Raw genomic sequence first — 20,802 nt, 5'->3', positions numbered from 1 at the left:
ACAAACCCATCCTCCTCTTTCCCTCCCCGTGCCCCTCCTTTTCCCTTGAGGAAAAATAAAAACAAATCTCTCCCTGTTCACCCAACCCAGATCTGAACAGACAAGGGTTCAGGTTGTGGCAGGTTCAATGACTGTTGGTAAAGCCCTGTGGAGGAAACCGACTCAGGCCAAATCTGCAAAGGAAATCCACATGATTCTCCATAGAGTCCTTGCGGTCAGATGGCTGCACAGCTATCAGGCCTGTGGGTTGTCCTTTAAGTGGGGTGTTACTGCCTGCCATACAATCCATCCGTACAATGAGTCAAATGTCAAATTCCTTAACTTTTCTTTTTTCCTCTACCTACTCTCATTTGGAAGAAATAATCAACATCATAAAATGTGTCTGATCCTTAGTCATAGATAACTCAGGTAGATGAGAACAGAGCAAGGAAATGTAGGAGAACTATTTTGCTTGAATTTCCCAGGGTAGACACTGAGTCACCAGGGCTCACATTGGCCTGGAGATCCTTAGGAAGCTGTTTTCCTCATACAGGTTCAAGAAGACCAGGAACAAATGTCCTGGTTGTTGTATCTCATGGTCAAATCCAGTGGAGATGCAGGTAGAGTCATTAGAGCAAGACTTGGCTTGGGGTTTCCTCCAGAGAGAAGACAGAAAGACATGTTTTCAGGGGCGAATGCAGAATGCAGCCCCTGGAAGCCCAAGATGTGTGCAGGCAGAGAGGGCTGTGTTTTTCGTCAGCCTTGGAAAGGAGTGGGAGAACGTCGCCAGGCAATCGATTAGGCTAGAGGTGAGGAGATCGATACAGCAGGTTTGGAGGCAGGTGGCAAAGCAGGAGACAGTGATAGGCTCATGGCCTTGGCTTGGCTGAAAGCTCCCCCACTCTGAGAATAAAGGCAGATCTGATGGTGAGAAAAGGATGGTTAATCTGAGGTGTTAGGTCACGCTGGACACAATCCGATAGACAGCTTTCTAGGTAATTCTGACCTCTCTGGAGGTCAAGGTCCTCATTTATAAGTTGGTATAAATAACCTCCATTTTTCTCCTACTCCTCAAAAAAAGTTTTGTAGCGAGACATGAGGGAGAATAACCATCAAAGCCTTAAAGAGATTACCTGGATCCAAAGCAGTATCACTTATGACCTCTACAACCCAAAGAGCAAGAAGGAAGCTGGCTGCATGCACACATGCCCTTAATGCTCTGCTCGTCAGCTCCGATGCCTGGCACCCACACCAGGACAGTCAGTACGTCTCTGGCTTCTGTGGCCAGATGACCTTTGGGAGAAAAGGCTATTTCTCCTTCCCCATCTCTTTCCCTTGAGTCACTATGGTGGGAACAACTCCTCTCCTATGCCAAAAAATGTTTGTTAACTTTTTAATTGGACAGTGCATATCCCATTTTCACTGCTTAACTAACTTACCTTTTTAAGAAATAAAATAAACATTTTAGGAGTGAAGTCAAAGGGGATGAATTCAATTGCTCAAGCACTTTTTTCCCCCTTAATATATACCCACTTGCTTTGCTAGGCCTCGTCTTATGCTTCCCATCTGTGTACAAGTATTCATCCTAGCACTGGCTCTGTGGAGACCTAATTCCCTTTGCCGTGTCTAGGAAAGGCAATTATATTCTGTAAACATTCCATTTGCTATCAGTGCCTGGAGTATGTTTTGGTTAACCCTGAATCCTTCAAAGCACCTTAATTTGAAGTAATTCAGTGGACAAGAGGATTATATTGGGGTCCACTCTTTGGGGGTTTGTGCTGATAGCTGTCCGAGCTTGCCTTCCACATGTCTGCCCGAGGCAGGCTGGTGTGCCAAGGCTAGTCCAGAACCAATTCAAATGCAAGAGCAGAAGCCAGAACTTTCTTATCTGCACAATGGCTTTGTCGTCAGAAATGCACCCTGACCTCTGATTCCAACATGTTGCCTCAAAATACAAGGGGTGGTTTTGGGCATCAGGGAAGGATTTCTGGAGTCAGTGTTGGCTTACTTTATTACTTGTGGGATGGACAGAGTTTGGACACGCAATGGGTAAGGAGAAGAGCCTTAATGCGGAAATCCCTAGTGTAAACATGGTTAGTAATCAACAATCAGCTGTGTTAGGAAACAAATGGTGTAACTAGATTTGGCATTGTATGGTGCCCCACCAGAGCAATCTCTTAGGGCAATCCAGCCTGTTTCTAGCCAGAACACACTGATGATTGTCAAAACAGCACCTGGACCCTGGCAGGAGTGCTTATTTTTTTTTATTTTTTTTTTTTGAGACGGAGTCTCACTCTGTCGCCCAGGCTGGAGTGCAGTGGCGCCATCTCGGCTCACCGCAAGCTCCGCCTCCCGGGTTCATGCCATTCTCCTGCCTCAGCCTCGCGAGTAGCTGGGACTACAGGTGTCTGCCACCACACTTGGCTAATTTTTTGTATGTTTAGTAGAGATAGGGTTTCACCATGTTAGCCAGGATGGTCTCAATCTCCTGACCTTGTGATCCGCCCGCCTCGGCCTCCTAAAGTGCTGGGATTACAGGCGTGAGCCACTGCACCCGGCCAGGAGTGCTTATTAGCAACTGGTGGAGGTAGCTGGTCTGCAGAGGGCCCTGGGAGGACAACAAGGGGAGAAGCCTGATCACATAGACAGGCATTAGATTGAGAATTACCATACCGGGGCTCTGATATTGCTTTACCACCAACACAAGGCACACGATCTTAGTTGAACACTTGGTCTCAGTTCCTCTCCTGGATCTCCTAGATGGAAGTAGTTTTCCCTAATTTGGGGATCCCACACTTGATGACGGAGACCCTTAATCACTTGGCAGCAGAGTCTGGCTGCAAACTCTGAGGGCAGCAGTGTTGCCCCATTGGCCTCTGTCTCAACCTCCTTGGCTGGCCCACTTCCCTTGGCCTCAGCTACCCTAGGACACAATGCCTGAACACGTGGATTGAATGAAACTGACTGCAATCCAGTGGAGGACTTGCCTGCCTCTCAATAAATGCAGACATTCTGACCTGACTCTTCCTGAGTCTAGGAAAAGTTGGGAAGCTGGTTTGTATCACCATGGTGAGGGGGTTGTGGAGTAGCCAAGTGCTGACTCTGACATCTCAGAGGTGACATCTCAGCCCTGCCTCTGTGCTTTCTCTAACACCATTATTAGCCCCACCTTCGCTGTCCTGAATCACACAGCAGATCTGATACACCCCACAGAATACAAAGACATGGACTGTCATGCAAATGACATGAAATCATCATCTTGACCTGATTTCTCCCTCTAGAACACTGTGGAAATACAAATCCGCCAGCACCCTTCCCCATATGTGATGCAAACAATGTTGTTTTTTTTGTTGTTTTTTGTTTTGTTTTGTTTTCCATCTGGAAATTACTCCCTCTGATTGAGAGGTTCGAGTCCCTTCTGCTTGTAATAATATTATTATTTATAATTTATGTTCTTAATTTTTATAAATAGTGCTCAGTCACCATGGCAACAGAATCTTCACAAATCGTTAAATTAAATAATGAGTAGTCATGATGCTTTGCACTTATGTTCATTTTCTTATTAAAAAATAGATCTCCAAGTTTTTTAAAAGTCCTAATTAATTGAGCCCTTCAACCAGTATTTTCTGAAGGTGGGAATCAGATAAATGCCTTTAACTTTTCTGCTGCTTCTCTCTTGAAGTCAGGAGATTACAGGGTTGGAGGGACCTCAAAGGTCATCTGGCAAAATATTTCTCAGAGTGGGGGCCCCAAATTCCTACTTAGGGTCGCCAGGGTTCTTGTTAACAGAAAAGCCGGCTCCCAAGCCTACTCCAGATCCACTGAAATAACATCCCTAGGAGCTGGAACCCAAGAGTATGGACATTTAACCAGCTTACCTGGGGAGTCTTAGGCATGATAAACTCTCACACTCATGCTACATTACCAATACATGGTCCGCTTTGGGATGAAATACCTCTGGTTCAGGGTTTCTCAATTTCAGCACTATAGAAATTTGGGGCCCGACAATCCTTTCTTGTGGGCTGTCCTGTGTACTGTAGGCTTTTGAGCAGCATTTTTGGCATCCGCCACTGGAAGCCATTAGCAGCCCCCCATCCAACAGTGTTTCAATTCAAGAAGGCTCCAGACATTGGCAACAATCCCCTGGTTGTGGGGGGATGAGGATGTCAAAATTGCCCCAGTTGAGAACTTCTGCCCTAGATTTAGAGAACTCATTCTAGACTGGGGAAACATGGCCTTCTCGTTTCATTTTATTGTTTTATTACTTTATTTTTTGACAGCTCCATGAGGAATTTCTCCTGCATGTTGAACTAAAACCTGACTCACTTAAGTTCTGTGTATGAATCCTCTTGGCAGGATAGAGTAACTGGTAGGTTGCATTCACTCTGTCTGACCTAGCACAGCCTTTTCAATCAGAAGCCTGTGATCTTAGGCCCTTTGAGCAGCTTATTAGGCTGAAATTTGGTCCTTCTTTCAACTGTCCTTCCTAAGACTTGAGTTTGAATTCTCTCTCTAATGGTTTCGATAACACCTCTCTGAAGCAGAAACTTTTTTTTCAGTATCCATATTGAAGATCAGTGCCCAGGTATAGACACAACCATTCTTGAATGTCATTTGTTCTGCCCCTGTTATTTGCAAAGTCTACCTATGCCTGGTGCTGGGAAGACAAAGATGAACCTACCAGAGGGGACATAAACTCAAAGTCAATGTATTTCTATAAGCAGGACGTAGTCTAAGGGTGGATGCAAGAAGAGAAGCCAAAATAATTCTATGGCAATCCATGGAGGTGGTGATATAAAGTAGCCTTTTAGCAGAAAGGAAAGCTGAAGGAAGCATTCACGCTGCCTGCGGGAGTAGTTGTTGGAGCCTGCGAAGGAGAAGAGACTGTGTTTAGCTCACTCTGGAAGACAGAGCAGTCGGCAGGCTCAGGGATAGCCTGAGCAGGGCCCCAGGATGCGCCAACGTGGGCCATATTTCAGGAAGATCAAATGTAAGGTGTGGTGAGAGCCCAGAAGGCCCAGATGCCACGTGAACACACACCTGAGGCAGAGAGGGCCTGGGCTCCTGGGAAGCAGCTTGTCCATGAACTTCAAAGACCTGATGAAACCAGAGGGAAAACCAGCCTCCCGGCCATGTCAAGACAGATCCAATGCTTTTCTGAAGCAGAGCCTCAAACATTCATAGGTATACTCCAAAGCGGGGATGGCAAATGCCAGCCTTGGGGAAACCTGCTGCCAGTCTCCTTCAGCTCCAGACCAATGCCCGCCTTGCCTCTCTGGTTTTTAGAGAGGCTGTTTGTCAAAAAAGAAAGACTCTGCTCCCTGGAATTGTTGGGGAGACTTGGTTTAGAACAGCCATGCCAAAAACTAGTTCCCAGACCTGGCATGCATTGTTTCTCTGAGATTTATTTATTTATTTATTTATTTATTTATTTATTTATTTACTTTACCTGAGCAGTGAAAAAAAATAAGACCCACTGTTATGGGTTGAATTGTGTCCCCTCAAAATTCGTATGTTGAAGACTTAAGCCCCAGGACCTCAAAAATGGAACCTTATTCAAAAATGGGCTCCTTACAGATGTTCTTAGTTAAGACAAAGTCACACTGCTGTAGGGTGGGCCCTAATCTAATAGGACTTGCATCCTAATCAAAAGGGGGAAATTAGACATGGACACATGCACATAAAGAGAACGCCATGTGAAGAGGAAGGCAGAGATCAAGCGATGCTTCTACAAGTCAAGAAACGACAGAGATGACTGACAACCAGCAGAAGTCAGGAAGAAGACGGAAAACACCTTCTCACTCACAGCCTCAGAAGGAGCCACCCTACAAACACCATGACCTCAGACTTCCAGCCTCCAGAACCGTCCTAAAATCAATTTCTGTTGTCGAAGACATCTTGTTTCTTTCGTCAGGCATCTGTGTTATTTTGTTCCACACAGTCCTAGAAAACTAACACAGCCACCTTATTGCATTGTGTGAAAATAAGATGGAATGCTATGAAAGCCGGAAGGTGAATTGCTTGGCACTTAGTGCAGGTACTGCCATGAGAGACCAAGTTACCAGTAGAAGAAAGAAGTTGGTTTTGGAAGGGAGCATGTGAGAACCACTAGAGCCCAGTGGGAAGGATGCGACGAAGGAGCGCAGAGAGCAAAGCATGTGGAACCACAGCAGGAGGCTGACCCAAAGGCTGCAGAGGAGCCCTGACAAAAACCTAGTTCATGCAGGGAGTTGAGCCTATGCCTGTGTTTTAATGAAGTGAGCGATGGACCTGCAGTCAAAACAAGAACAGCTCTCATCCTTAAGCACCTACTAGGTTCCAGACGCCACCTGCGGTGTTTGACAGATGCTGTCTCTCAACCTGGGAAGAGTCTTTCAAGGTAAATGGAATTTCTCCCGTTTGCCAGGGGTTTGCTAAAGTTCCCAGGGATGCCAGTCAGCCCAGTCCTCCCGGGCAGCAAGGGGTCCCGTGATATCCATGCACAGCATCTGGGTCTAGACAGACGACTGGCTAGTGGCATCCTGACTGTTGGTTAAAATAAAAGTGGAGGGACTTGAATTCAAACCTAGGACCTTCTAGTCCAGGGCTCACCCTATTTTGTTTTCCTCTTTACTGCCCAATTTAACAGACAGCTTACCTAGCAGGACGGCGAGGCCCGTGAGCCAGCCGCAGACTGTCTAGACCCTCAGCTGCCCCATCTGTAAATTAGAAGTAATAAAATGCATTCCAAAGGCTCTTTACTTAGGACTAAATGAGCTATTTTAAGTGAACGGGCTTTGCAAACTGTAAATTGCCACATACACATGAGGAAATGAAATGACAACTGAAACTGTCCACCAGCACTTTGCCTGCACCCAGGTGCTCTTGTTTTGAACACAGCCTTCCGCAGCTAATGCGTAATTTACTCCCAGAAATTCCACACTGTGTCCCTGAGCAGCTTCACCCAGAGCCAGACACTCAATTAATAAGTCCCCATTACCCTGCAAAATACCCCAAACAGACAAAAAGCCATTTTCTAGTAACTAAACAACAGGATTTTCGACTTAAAACACAACGCCAGCCTAATTAACTAATTAGACAACAAAATAAATAATTATCCAGTGTATCAGCAAGAGGAAGAGAGGCGCATTAAAAGGTTACTCAGATGCATAGCCTTCTCTGGAAAGGGATCGAGACAGCTTCACCAGGAACCAGAGAGTTTTATTTGTGGGTTTCAGTCAGAGACCTCTCCCAGGCTGCTGTGTAATTACGCCCGTCTCCTGTTAATGGGTAATGGCAGAGCCTGGGTATGCAGACTTTCTGGGTGATGAGCAGTCCTGTCTCTCTCCCTCTGCATTTTCCCTGCGTTTCAACGCCAGCCTGTTTCCAAATTCCTCTCCCGAACAAACTTATCAGAGCTGTAACATCTACAAGTTGAAGAAGATGGTGCTATTTATCAAGTGAGCCCCACACACGCACTCAGACGATAGATTTTGGTCCCTTCCTTTGTAATCCTCAAGCAAATTGCTTTTATGTCATTGCAACTCTGAGTTCTCAGGCAGGCGATCAGGGGGAAAGGCCCCACATTTACTAATAGGAACAGAATCTATACAAGGTATCCAAGTTCATTTATTTATTTTTTTGAAAGAGATGAAATTACTTTATTGGTTCAAATAAACTGAAAAAATAGAAAGACATACAAATTACTCAGTTGTAATTTTAAGGACAACTGCAAAATAAACTTGAATTTAAGCATAAACTTATGCTTACTGATTACTATTTGAATTAAACAGTGAGAACTACAATTTAAGTTTTTTAGTTTTACAGATTGAATTTGCAGGTATGCTGTCTTGTTCATGTTGAAATAAATTTATTTTTTAGGAATTATTATTTTACTGGATTATGTCAAAAATAGGGCTGTATTCTTGAGAAAGGACATGTTTCTTCTTGGGCTGGTGACAAAATCATGTATATACCAAACCCCAGTGACACACAATTTAGCTATGTAACAAACTTGCACAAGTACAACCTCCTGAACCTAAAAAAGAAGTTGGAGGGGAAAAAGAAATAAATAAAAATATTATTCTGAAAAAAAGAATTAAATAAATGATGCATGTAAAGCTTTTAGCATAGCACTCAATACCTATTGAGCCTCCAACAAATAGTACTTTGAAAAAGAAGACTTTTCTTTTAAACAATAGCTTCTTATGCATACTAAAGCCATATAATGGGAGCTTGAGCCTCTTCCCACTCCATGGATGTTCATGACCACAGCCCACTTTGCATATGAGGCAGTGCACTATCCTTAACTACAAAGGAACAAACAAGGTGTCTCCAGTCAGCCTTGGTGAGAATTGATCCTGATCCCCCTCTTCTTTCAGGGGTCACAGCAGCTCAGACAATTCTATAGTATGAAAGGAGGGATGACTATCATGGCATGAAAAAGCATCACTATGGAAGCTTATTTTTCGGGTTATCTTTTCTTTGACCTCATTTAGAGTCTTCAATGTGTGGAACTAGCCAGAGTTGAGCACATCCTAATTGGTTTTCTTTGCCTCCCTGAAAAGTCCTGTGTACCTTCTCATCACTCATTTATTAATTTGAAAAAAGTAGGGTGATGAGAAGCATGCATCAAGCCATGTGGCAGGTGATACAACACACACTGCCTGCTGGTTCCTCCCAACACCCTTTGATGGGCATGCTCTGGGAAGAGATGGTATATTGTGCCCAATGGATGATGTCCCCATCTTTAGGGGAATGGATTTCATGATGGTTATCAAATGAAATCCAAATTTAAAAAATGCCCCAAATGAAGGAACTGATATTACCTTCCAAAGATTAAGATTCCAAATCTCAAAATGTCACTAGCATTTGGTTGGAAAGATGATTCTGGACATGGGGCTTATGTATATAATGATACCATCACACTTGCAAAGAAGAGAAATGCAGTGAGTTGAGCCTATGCCTGTGATTTAATGAAGCAATGGATCTGGGGTCAAAACAAGAATAGCTCTCATCTGTAAGCATCTACGAGGTTCCAGAAGCCATGTTTGCTGCTTGCCAACATCTGTCAAGCATCAAGTGAACAAGTGAAACAATTCACTTTTCATAAAAGGACTTTATACTTCTCATTCGTATCATGAAGAAGGAATTCCTTTTTCCTCATTTTCTTTTCTCTGCAGACACTTTGCATGCACTAAGAATCTAACAGTAAACAACTCCATTCATTTCCTTGTGAAACTTACATTTTTGTAAGGGAGGCAGACATTATCCCAGTTATGCAATCAGTTATTTAATTAAAGGGGCGATTGATTCCACAAAGAATAAGTCCAAGAACTTCAGTAGTAGCTAACAAAGACATCCTGAGTTAGTGTGGTAGTGAAGGAAGTGGCCTTTGAACTGAAATCTGAGAAAGTCAAGAGAGAGGTAGGTAGGAATCAGCTTTTGCAGAGAGTGGAGGCTGAGATTTTTACCTTCAGACCAGTAGGGAGCCATGGACGTATTGTATATAGAGCAGAGTCCTGATCAGACTTTAATCGTCATGATGGCTGCTGTATGGTGAATGTGTTGGAAGTGGTCAAGATTAGATGAACAGAGACAAGATAGACAACTTGGACATGCCAGGCAAAAGGTAACAGGAGCCAGGGCTGCTGAGTGGTCCTAGAGAGAAGCTGCTAGGTGTCAGAGATGTGCAGGGAGAAATCCACAGGGTTTGGAAAGTGATTAGATTGGGTGGGAAATGAAGGACAGAGAATTGTCTAAATCTGGGTCCTAAGGTTCAGCTTCTACCATTAGAAGAATAGCAATGCAAAGTCACAGAGATAGTTGGTGGAGAACCTCATACAACTGATCAAAGGGCCTCATTCTGTGAACTACAAGAGAATTCAAGGGACGCATCCTCTGCCCCCCAAATGAGGATATATCACACAGAAATGGGGGATGCCTCATGCCCATCAAGGGCAGGGCTGATGCAAGTCACCCGTTCTGGGGCAGAAAACTAAAAGCTAAGAACAGTGAGGAGCCTTGAGGCTGGAGACCCGAGTGCACAGAGGCCATTTGGGCTGCAGGGGACTTGTGGAGCCCAGGCAGGTGCAGTGGGAAGCTGGTTAAAAGTAGCACAGCTGTGTGCAGAGACAGGCAGTATGGCAGGACCTGAGGATGGACCCTGAAGAAAGACAAAGGTGGCTTTGAATCTTGGATCTGCCACTCACCAGGTGAGTGGATTTGGGCAGGCATCTCAACCTGTCTGAGCTTCCCATCTGTATTAGTCCATTCTCATGCTGCTAATAAAGACATACCCAAGACTGGATAATTTATAAAGAAAAGAGGTTTAATTGCCTCACAGTTCAGCAAGGCTGGGGAGGCCTCAATCATGGCAGAAGGCAAGGAGAAGCAAAGTCATGTCTTACATGGCAGCAGGCAAGAGATCGTGCACAGGGAAACTCTCCTTTATAAAACCATCAGGTCTTGTGAGACTAATTCATATCATGAGACCAGCACAGGAAAGACCTGTCCCACCTCCATGATTCTATAACCTCCCACTGGGTCTCTCCCACAACACGTGGAGATTATGGGAGCTACAATTCAAGATGAGATTTGAGTGGGGACACAGCCAAATCATATCACCATCTGTGGAAGGAAGGTAACCTTAACATTAATCTTAAGTGAAGACTGGATGAGATGATGGGGAGAAGAACCAAACATAACAACTCACAGGTGACGGGTGTTCAATGAACCTGCTACTGTTGTTATCATTATCATCATAAGGGGAGCAAACATAAAACCTAACACCAAAGCAAAGCAAAAGTCAGGGCAGCCCCTGTGGAGGAGTGCAGGCTTTAGGGTACCAGCAGAAAGGAGGCAGGTAGCAGAGACTGAACTCCAGTGTTCCTCTTTTGCTTTCATAAAGCTTCAGGTTTCTGAACAAACCACAAGCACTCAATCTGAATAATTATAGAAAGTCAAGGACCAACCTCTCACTCTGCAAAGCAGCAACTGCTAGTAATGAACCATGATTCCGCAGCCAATCATAGTCTGACCTTGGCCACAGCCAGAGCCAGTAGGCTCTGTAAGGTCTGGCTTGCAGATGTGTTTTGTTTGGCCTTCACACTGTTTTTTTTTTTTTTTTTTTTTTTTGTAATTAGTAATAAACATTTAACATTTGGATTCGCCACATTAAAATGAGAATTTTCTGCTTCTACTGAGAGACCAGAAGATCTGACAAAGCTTGAGTTCACATGTCAACAGGGTTGGAGACCCCTGGACCTAATAGGTGGCTGTCTCTGAAAAGAGACACCTGTTCTCCAAGTCCCCAAAGTCCTAGGGTGACTCTTAATGATTTCTGTATTTTCTTATACCAACCCTACCTCTCTTACCTTCCTGAGTCCTGTAGCCTTGAGAATTTTTGAAACCTTTATCTAAAGCAATGGTTATCAACTATGTTCCAGGTAGAAACACTATTTTTCTTTAAAGTGGATAAAGCATCATTAACATGGACCATTGACAGTATTTTCCAAGTCTTCACAGCCATGCACAAGGACACACATGTGCTCATGCTAAGCAAAGCTTATTGATGAGTTTTCTGAACGTTTTCTCCAATAATGTTCTTTAAAGTCTTAAGCTTGTCTATACTAGAATCTGCCGTCAGCAGCAGATTGGGCTCACATTTACATCTTTGGGTTTTTTTTTTTTTACATCGAAGGCATCTATCTTTCACAGTTCTTCTCCAGGTGTTTTGCCACCTGAATGCTTCTGAGATGCACTTGGCCAAAAGTTCTGGTTCAAAAGAATCAAAAAGTCTTCTAGGCCCCAAGGGAAATGTCTTTTGACAATTCCTCTTCTCCGTTCTCCCTTGATGAGTTCGGGAGGAGGTAAAGAGACACATAGGAAAAATCTGCCTGTTCTATTAAAACAAAACAAAATAAAACAAGGTTGAAAAATAGTAGACAGGGAAGATATTTTGCCTCAGCAGCAAAATCAACTACTTGTGGAATTTCATTTACCAGAGGATACGGTGTTTTCTTAAATATTCTATAGTGATTAGCTGGCAAAATCTCAAACATTTTTTAACACAAGATGTCTTTGGTCAATAAATACCAGAACTGAAATGTCCTGGGGGTGGAGATTTATGATCTAAGCACAAGAAACACACCCATAAATCAGGCAGAGAAAGCTCTCAGGTAGCCGAGCAGGCATTATGCAGATCTCAGAAGAGGCCCAGGAAGGAAGACTTGGGGTCCTGGCAGGGCTGAGCTCATATCAACCTGTGGGAGAAAGGGACGGGCTTTCGAAGGCTCCATTTCTTCATCCACAAAAGAATGAACACTTTGCCTTTGCACTGTTGAGTTTCTCTTTTTCTAATCATTGGAAATTTTTCCTTTTCTATTGTTCACAAACATTTGCAAAGACAGACATGTTGTGAAGGACCTGGGGAACCAGGTTGAAATTGTGGCTGGAACACTCGGCTGTGTGAGCTTGGGCAAGTCTCTTAAACGCTCTCGCATTTTGCATCCTTCTCTGAAAAGTGAGGATAATAATACCCACCATACAGGAGGACTGTGAGGATTAAATCAGATAATGTTGTGAAATGCTTAGCACAGTGGCTTGCAAAGTTTCACTTACAGATAACATTTATTAAAGTGCCTGGCACCATGTAGGTCGTCTATAAATTACCCTTAGCCCTTTCCAATGTGCAAAGTTAAGGGAAAATGTAGATGATGCTCTATAATAAATAGTAGCTTCATCCAGATGCAAACTTGACAGAGTTTTTTGTGGTTTATCTTGATATGGAGTCCAGTTCTGATAATTGGGCTTCTCTTGGGTCCCAAGATCCAGTCTCACCTTGAATTTGGTTTGTTTACTCTCTGTTCCCTCCCAGGCTTATTCTCCATCTCTGGCTTTTTCAACTCTGAGTCTATGCTCTCTTCTCCTCCCTTCCCTGGCCTCCTCTCCCCTCCTTTCCTCTTCCTTCTCCTCCCCTTCTTTTCCCTTCCTCTCTACAGTTTAGTCAAAACACTCCCTCATTATCTCAAGTGCTTCCATGGTTTAGGTTACCGTCTATGTATCCTGATGACTCCAAGGGACCTGTAGCTCCCCCCAGCCCTCTCTTCTGGGACAGACAGGTAACCCAGGTACCCCTGTCCAGACACCTCTTCCACCTGACATTTTCACTACGGTATGTCACAGGGGTCGCAAATGCAACATTACCTACACATATCTCTGGATTCTTCTTTACCATTCTCACAGTCATGTTCAGCCTCTCCCATGTGCTGGGCCTTTTGTAGGATTTGGAGGAGGCAGCAGTGAGAGGTCCTGGTCTGGACTTGGTGGTGCTCACACCTGGTCTACCCCTGTACTCCTCATCTGGGTAAATGTCCCCAGTGACATAACTGCGGCACAGGTTAAATAGCTGAGAGGCCATGTTGACACCTTCCTCTCCTGCACACAAACTTCTCCCACATCCCGTGGACTTTACCTCCTAGATAACCTTCATGTCTGTTTATTCTGTCCGTTTCTACTGCCCATCCTATTTAAAACCACTCTCTTCTCTCACCTGGGTGACTGTGGCAGGAAGCCTTTCAGTGGAACGCCGCGTTTCCCCAGCCACATCCCACAAAGTATGGAGAATAACTAAATACACAAGCCTGGTCATGTAATCCCCCTGCTCAAAACTCCTGCGGCTTCCCACGGACTTCGGCATAGAATCCAATGTCTTAACCAGCTTCCAAGGTGCCTCCCTGTTCAGACCCCTGCCTCCATCCCTGGTATGTCTCCAGTTTCTCTTCCTGCCCTTTCCACACTAGACTTTATATATATTTTTTCTTTTCTTTGGAGATGGAGTCTTGCTCTGTCACCCAGGCTGGAGTGCAGTGGTGCGATCTCAGCTCACTGCAACCTCCACCTCTTAGGTTCAAGCAATTCTCCCTGCGTCAGGCTCCTGAGTACCTGGGATTACAGGTGCCCAACACCATGCCTGGCTAATTTTTGTATTTTTAGTAGAGACGTAGTTTCCCCATTTTGGCACAGCAGGTCTTGAACTCCTGACCTCAGGTGATCCGCCCACCTCGGCCTCCCAAAGCACTGGGATTACCACCGCACTCAGTCGACTTTATGTTCCTTCAGGTTCTCTAATATGCTGTGATCCCCTTTGCTTCCAAACCTGCGCTGGACCAGACTCTCCACTGCCTGGAAGACTCTCCCCTGACTGTTCCCAGTTCCTGGCTCAGGAGTCAGCTGAAATGAGACCTTCTCATAAGATGTTTCTGCGACTTCCTACCCTTGATACATCCCTTTGTTCTACACTTCCACACCACCCCCCACTCTTTCTTAGGAGCTCTTTAGGCACTTGCAATTGTTTAATGAGTTCTAGGATGCGATGGAGTCCCGAGACAATGTCTCTTCAAATGTGCTCCAAATCACTTGGGCAGTAAGCCTTAGAAAAACGCAAAGTTGGGGAATTCCTGGGAGGTGGGGTCTGGAATTTTATATTTTTAACAAGTTCCACAAGTGAATCTAAGCACAGCAAACTCAAAGTGCTGTTGCTGTAAGTGCTTGGCCCACAGGGCAGGGGATTATTTCTTCTCTGGACTCAGGGATGTTGCGGGAAGGAAAGCCTGCACCCGGCATAAGCCCTCAGAACGTCCTGGGAAGCTTCTCCTTCCGCAGGTTCTCTGCTATTACTGCATGGTTCGGACATCCAGCTGTCTTAAGATCACTCGACAAGCACATATGTCACAAAACGTGAAGAGTGTTCTGGAAGTGTCAGCACGAGCGTCCTTCTTCTTTCCTATCCTGGGGGGTCTGCCACTTAGATTCCTCTGCTTGGACATTCTTCTGACATATGCATAAGCCTCACGGACAATAAAACCCCCCTATCCAAAGTTATGGGTCTGGAGGAGGCAAATGGAAAAGGGCAGTCTTTCCATCTATGAAATCTGACTTCCTTTCAAGAATAGTTACATCTGTGACATCTGTTCTACAGTTCCTTTGAACAGCTGCTTAAATCTTGGTGTAGCACAAAATGCAGAGATGGTCGAAGCAGACATTATTTGGTGATTACATGACCCTGGAGAAGTTTCTTCATGTCTCTGGCATTCTGATTTCTCTTCTGTACAGAAACAGGTAGAGCACTCACCTGGAGGGGGATTGAAACATGCATTGGTGCTGGACACAGGGAAGCCTCTTGTGGATATTCACCGTCCTCCCCGCCTCCCTCTCTGCCAAGTGCACATTGCCTCTAGCATCCGTAGGGGCCAGCTCCTCTCTGACAGTGACCTCACTCCTGCCCCCAGGTACATGCTACAGTCATCTTTGAACCAGGCAGAAGCACTCCTTGCTATGGTAAATTGCTCTATCAAATGCTTATCTCATTTTATCCTCTCTTGAAGATCAAAAGGACTCATAGCTTCATTTTCCATAGAGGAAATCTAGAAACCTAGAATTGTCCATTTTTTTCCTATGATCAATTAATGATTTATCAGGATTCAGGTCGTGGCTCTACTCTTTGCTAGCTGTGTGATACGGGACAAGAACCCCGATGACATCCTTGCAAACGTCAATCATGTACCTGGTGCCAGGTGCTGGTTGGAGTGTTTGGCTGACTCTTCCCCTTTCCCTCACTTTGCAATGATGGTCTTGATTTTACAGGGGCAGAAAAGGAGGCTGGGTGGAGTAAGCCTGTTGTCCGAGGCTCCACTCCTGGGAAAAGGCTGTGGGACAGCAGAGTTGGCAAGTCTCTGTCACTCTCTACCACAGTGGTTGCCTTTCTAAGCCATAGTTAGTCCCATGTAGGAATATAGTGAAATTTTAACAAGCAAGGCAATGTATGGGAAATACTTACCACAGCACCTGGCCTTGGTGAGCGTCAGGGCATGCTGCTTGTTATGTCTTAGGCTCTGCAGGTGCTGAGAACTTGGGCATTTCCCTTCACCAAGTTGGCTCACTGATGGGCGTGTGATCATCGGCTTTGTTCCCTGCTTATGTGGCCTGGCAGCTCCTCTTGTGGCCTCCAGCCTTGCCCCAGGCTCTTTCCGATGCATCCAGTCGTACTGGAAGCAATTGATTCCCGTGGCTCCCACGGCTGATCATGGGCCTTCAGTGCTTGCCTCTACACCCTGGTTAAGAAAGACATGGAGGGGGTGCTCAGTGAGGAGCTAGTGTTGGGCTGGGCCCCCAGCCTGTTGCAGGCACTGTGGAGGGACCGGCTCCTCCAAGGGCCCCTCACCTGCTGCACCTCCCCACCAGCCCCTAACTCGTGCAGGCTCCTTGTAGAATGGGCTCTCGATCTTTCTTCTCCATCTCAGCCTGGGCCCTTCCTGCTCCTCACGTGGGGTAATTTGACAGCCTTCTGAATGGCTGCCTACATCCAGGCTCTAGAGCAGGGGTCAGCACATGACAGCCTGTGGTCAAATCCAGCCCTTAGTCTGTTTTCATAGCCCTTGAGCTAAGAATATTTCTACATTTCTAAAGAGTTGTTAAAAACCAACCACATGACAAAAATAAAGAAGAATATGCAACAACGACCAACTGCAAAGCCCTTTACAGATACTGTTTGCAGATGCCTGCTCTAGACGATTCTTCATATTGACCTTCTCGCCCAGCCTCAATGTCTCACCCTGATTCCACCCAAGGTCTCACATCCTGTCTCTACCCTGCTTAAAAATCTTTAAGCCACCCTGTGTGCAAAAAAGGCACCCTGAAGGTAGTCTAAGAAGATCTGGATTCAATTCCCAACTCTGATACTTATTAGCTGTGTGATCCTCTTGAACCTCAGTCTCTTCCTCTGTGCAATAGAGTTAACAGGGCAAACCCAGGAGGTTATTTGGGGACCTAATGACTTTGAGGTATGAAAATGCACTCTGAGATACACAGAGCTATTCAAAATATGAAATTTCATCATAACTGTTTTGTCCATGGGCAGTGTCCACACCCCAGAGCCTGCTTTAGAGTCTGTCCCCAGCTGAGACCCGGTTTGCTTTCCAAACCTCATCCCTTGTGACTTTCCACATGACATTCCAACCCACATGCCGCATGGCTTTGCTCTCCCCCTGCCTTGGTTGAAATGCTCTTCCCAGTATCGTCTTGCATTTGAGCCCTACCTGGTCTTCAGATTTCACACCCAGCTCAGTGGCAGATGCCTCTGATGTGTGGATCCTGGAATCTGCATGGGGACAGTTAGGGACGTGGAGATGGGAGAAGTCTTCAGCACTCAAAGTGCTTGTTCTGCAGCCCTAGAAGGCATTAACCATTTCAATCTGTGCGCTGGTCTTAAATCTTCTCCTCCCTGTCTTTTCTTTCTCTTGCTTTTCTTTCCAACACTCCAACATGAAACAGTGCCTGCTGTGTAGTAAAAATATTTTGGCTGCCTCCCTTTTAAAAACGTTCTAAAAATACACAGAGGCATCCACATGCACACATGGCAGGCTCTGACGATTGCCTTCCAGGTGGCAGAAACAAACCCTGAGCTTGTGCCCCTCCTTGGGACCAGCGTGGGGAACTCCTGGGCCAGCCTTCCAGACAGGCACCTAGTTAAGGGGCAGCAGCATTTGATATGGAGCAAAAATTTGCCCTTTTTGCTGACCATTCTCAATGCTGCAGAACTCTCAATTATTTGTAGAAATTGGAAGACACAAGATGTTGTAAATAAAGGTGGAATATGATTCATGCTTCTCTTTTGTGTTTTAAGATCTACTCAAGGAAATAAAAAATGTTGAAACTCTTGCTTTTTTTTTTTTTTGGGACGGAGTCTTGCTCTATCGCCCAGGCTGGAGTACAGTGGCGCGATCTCGGCTCACTGCAAGCTCCGCCTCCTGGGTTCACACCATTCTCCTGCCTCAGCCTCCCGAGTAGCTGGGACTATAGGTGCCTGCCACCATGCCTGGCTAATTTTTTGTATTTTTAGTAGAGACGGGGTTTCACCGTGTTAGCCAGGGTGGTCTCGATCTCCTGACCTCGTGATCTGCCCTCCTCGGCCTCCCAAAGTGCTGGGATTACAGGTGTGAGCCACCGCGCCCGGCCACTCTTGCCTTTTTCAAACCCTAGATTTCTTGCCTGAACTCGAATAAACTTTTGTTTCACCCAAAGAGAGGCATCGTGGAGTCCTGCAAAATCATTAGGTGGGGAGCCAGCAAGATGAGGTTCTCATTGTCACCTGCCACCGCCTGTAACAAGTCCTAGGTTGTCGCTGAACCTCAGGCTCTTTATCCAAAATTTAGGGGCTTTAATTAAGTGACCCATTAGATTACTTCTAGCTGTAAAAATCTGTGGTAGATCAGCTAGAATTGTTAGTATGATTTAAGGCATAATATGGGTTTAGAAACTATTTCTTTTACTACTAATAGTTATAACTTTGCAGGATGATGCCCACAGTTCTCATTCAATAGAATCTTTTTTTTCTTTTCTTTCTTTCTTTTTTTTTTTTTGAAGCAGAGTCTTGCTCTGTCACCTAGGCTGGAGTGCAGTGGTGCAATCTCGGCTCATGGCAAACTCTGCCTCCTGGGTTTAAGTGATTCTTGTGTCTCAGCTTCCCAAGTAGCTGGGATTACAGTTATGCACCACCACGCCCAGCTATTTTTTGGCATTTTTAGTAGAGATGGGGTTTCACTGTGTTAGCAAGTCTGGTCTCGAACTCCTGGCCTGAAGTGATCCACCTGCCTGGGCCTCCCAAAGTGCTAGGATTACAGGCATGAGCCACCAAGCCCAGCTGATTCTTTTTAAATAAAATTATTATTATTATTATTTGATACAGGGTCTGGTTCTGTCATCCAGGCTGGAGTACAGTGGCACAATCTTGGCTGGTTGCAACCTCCACCTCTTGGGCTCAAGCAGTCCTCCCACCTCAGCCTCCCAAGTAGCTGGGATTATAGGAGTGCACCACCATGTCTGGCTAATTTTTGTATTTCTTGTAGAGAAGGAATTTTGCTCGGTTGTCCAGGCTGGTCTCCAACTCCTGAGCTCAAGGGATCCTCCTGCCTCGGACTCTCAAAGTGCTGGGATTACAGGCTCCCATGACCCATGGCCCCCCAGCCACATTCAATAGACTCTTTACACTGGGGTGGGTGCTGTGGCCACAGCAAAAGGAAACATGCATTTATTTATTCAGTGACCAAATATTTGTGACTTGCCATAGTGGTTGGTATGTGAGAATAAAATCATTCTCATTTTATAGAAGATAACACTGAGGCTAAGTGAAGTTGGAATTACTATTCATACTCATATCTATAATACTAGCTCATTCTACGTAGCTCATCTTAGGGCCCTAGTCTCAATAAGAATTCCCATAGTAGGCTTTCAACTTACTGATTCTTCAAGTCATTCCTAAGTGTAAAACAAGTTCTTACTTATGACGCATTATTAAATAAAGTGAGCTACTAGGTTGGTGCAAAAGTAATCGTGATTTTGCCATTCTTTTAATGGTGAAAACCACAATTACTTTTGCACCAACCTAATATTTTGGATTGCAATTATTTCAATATACCACTTCATATGATATTTTGAGACTGCCTTTGAGTGAGGTCTATCGCTTGTATTGTGCCTCAGTAAAGCCCCATTTAGAACTCTTCTATAATTCAGTCTTTCAGAAAATCAAGACTCTTTAATAAGTCCCCGATTTGCTCATTCTTGCACATCATAAAGAGGCTTTCATGATCAATGTGTTTTGGAAATATGACTAAACAAAGTAAGGTTAGTGCCTTTATAGCAGGGCCTCTTGCATCCTGTAATGCACGGGTATGTACCTGAGATCTCCATGAGGGTGTTACCATTTGCTGCTTTTACTTTTCCCGAAGTTCTTTTACTCTAGAAAGTACTATCAGGAAGCATCTGACAGCACTGGCATTCACAGAAATCTGTGTCGCCCCCAGTTAATCTTAATTTCTGTCATTGGCACTGTATCTGTGGGGTTTTGCTGCAATGTAAAACGGAATAATGAATATTTGTTATATTTTAGACACTTTATGGATTCCAAAGCATTTATCTCATATGGTTCTTAAAGCCATCTTGAGAGATGGATATGATTACTCCATTGTATTCAAAAAGCAGTGAGAATTTTAGTTTAGAATGGTGCACCAAATAAATACTACAACTTTCCCCCACTTCTCTGAACACATAAGGAAGATAGGAATAATATTAGTAAGCCATACTAATTACATAGCAGGGCCCTGAAACAAGAATGGGCAATCTACAGATACCAGAAATGGAAATATTTCCTGAAAAGGAGGGTGCTTGGGATGGTTACTAGGGGCTGAATCACTAGGGCCCAAGAGGGTGCCGGGAAAAGAGCTGAGAGCCATGCACAAGGCTGTGTCGAGGGTTTCAGGTCCTAGGAGGGGCAGGGGACCACATCTGGCAATCTAGGTGTGGCAAAGGACCGCAAACCTGCAGTGGGGACTGAAAATCTACCCCCCACTCATTTCTAGAGTCTGTATCAGCTCTGTGTCTGCCTACCGAGTGCTGTGGCTGAAGCCCTGGTCCTGGAACTTGAGAAGTGCCTTCTGCATGGGGCAGGGTCTGGAGCCACCATAAGAGTAGGAGCTGTCTGGAAATAAGTTCTTCATGTGGGTTTGGGGCTGAACTTAGACACGTGCAGAACCTGTGTTTACAGCCATGATAATGCATCTTGGGGGTTCCTGGAATTCAAAGAAAGGAAATCACCCAGGGTGGTGATGACCTCACAACTAAGAATTACACAACACTGGAGGAAGACAGAGCCCAAGTGAGACAAACAAAAACACAGCACAGAGGACTATATAACTGGTGAAAAGAAGGGAACTTAGAGAATCTGAAAAGACACGTGAAACATTTTTTAATATCCTGAAAGAAAGGAGAGAAAGCAACCATGGCAGGAGG

General features: G+C 44.9%; 1 long non-coding RNA gene across 3 annotated transcripts; it reads right to left on the bottom strand.

Moving 5' to 3' along the window:
* Window positions 1-14,420: 14,420 nt before the first annotated feature.
* LINC02914 (long intergenic non-protein coding RNA 2914) lies at window positions 14,421-20,574 on the bottom strand. 3 transcript variants are annotated; one of them, NR_161367.1, is made up of 5 exons: window positions 20,401-20,574; window positions 19,692-19,861; window positions 17,055-17,186; window positions 15,797-16,070; window positions 14,421-15,091 (listed from the first exon to the last, which is right to left on the bottom strand). It is a non-coding gene; the product is annotated as a long intergenic non-protein coding RNA 2914 (long non-coding RNA). The 3 variants fall into 3 exon arrangements; NR_161368.1 differs by lacking the exon at window positions 17,055-17,186; NR_161369.1 differs by lacking the exons at window positions 17,055-17,186; window positions 19,692-19,861.
* Window positions 20,575-20,802: the final 228 nt, after the last annotated feature.

The sequence above is a fragment of the Homo sapiens genome, chromosome 14, assembly GCF_000001405.40.
Source record: "Homo sapiens chromosome 14, GRCh38.p14 Primary Assembly".
Lineage (NCBI taxonomy): Eukaryota > Metazoa > Chordata > Mammalia > Primates > Hominidae > Homo > Homo sapiens.
Note: the sequence above shows the minus strand (reverse complement) of the source record. Positions and strands in the feature narration are given on the sequence as shown.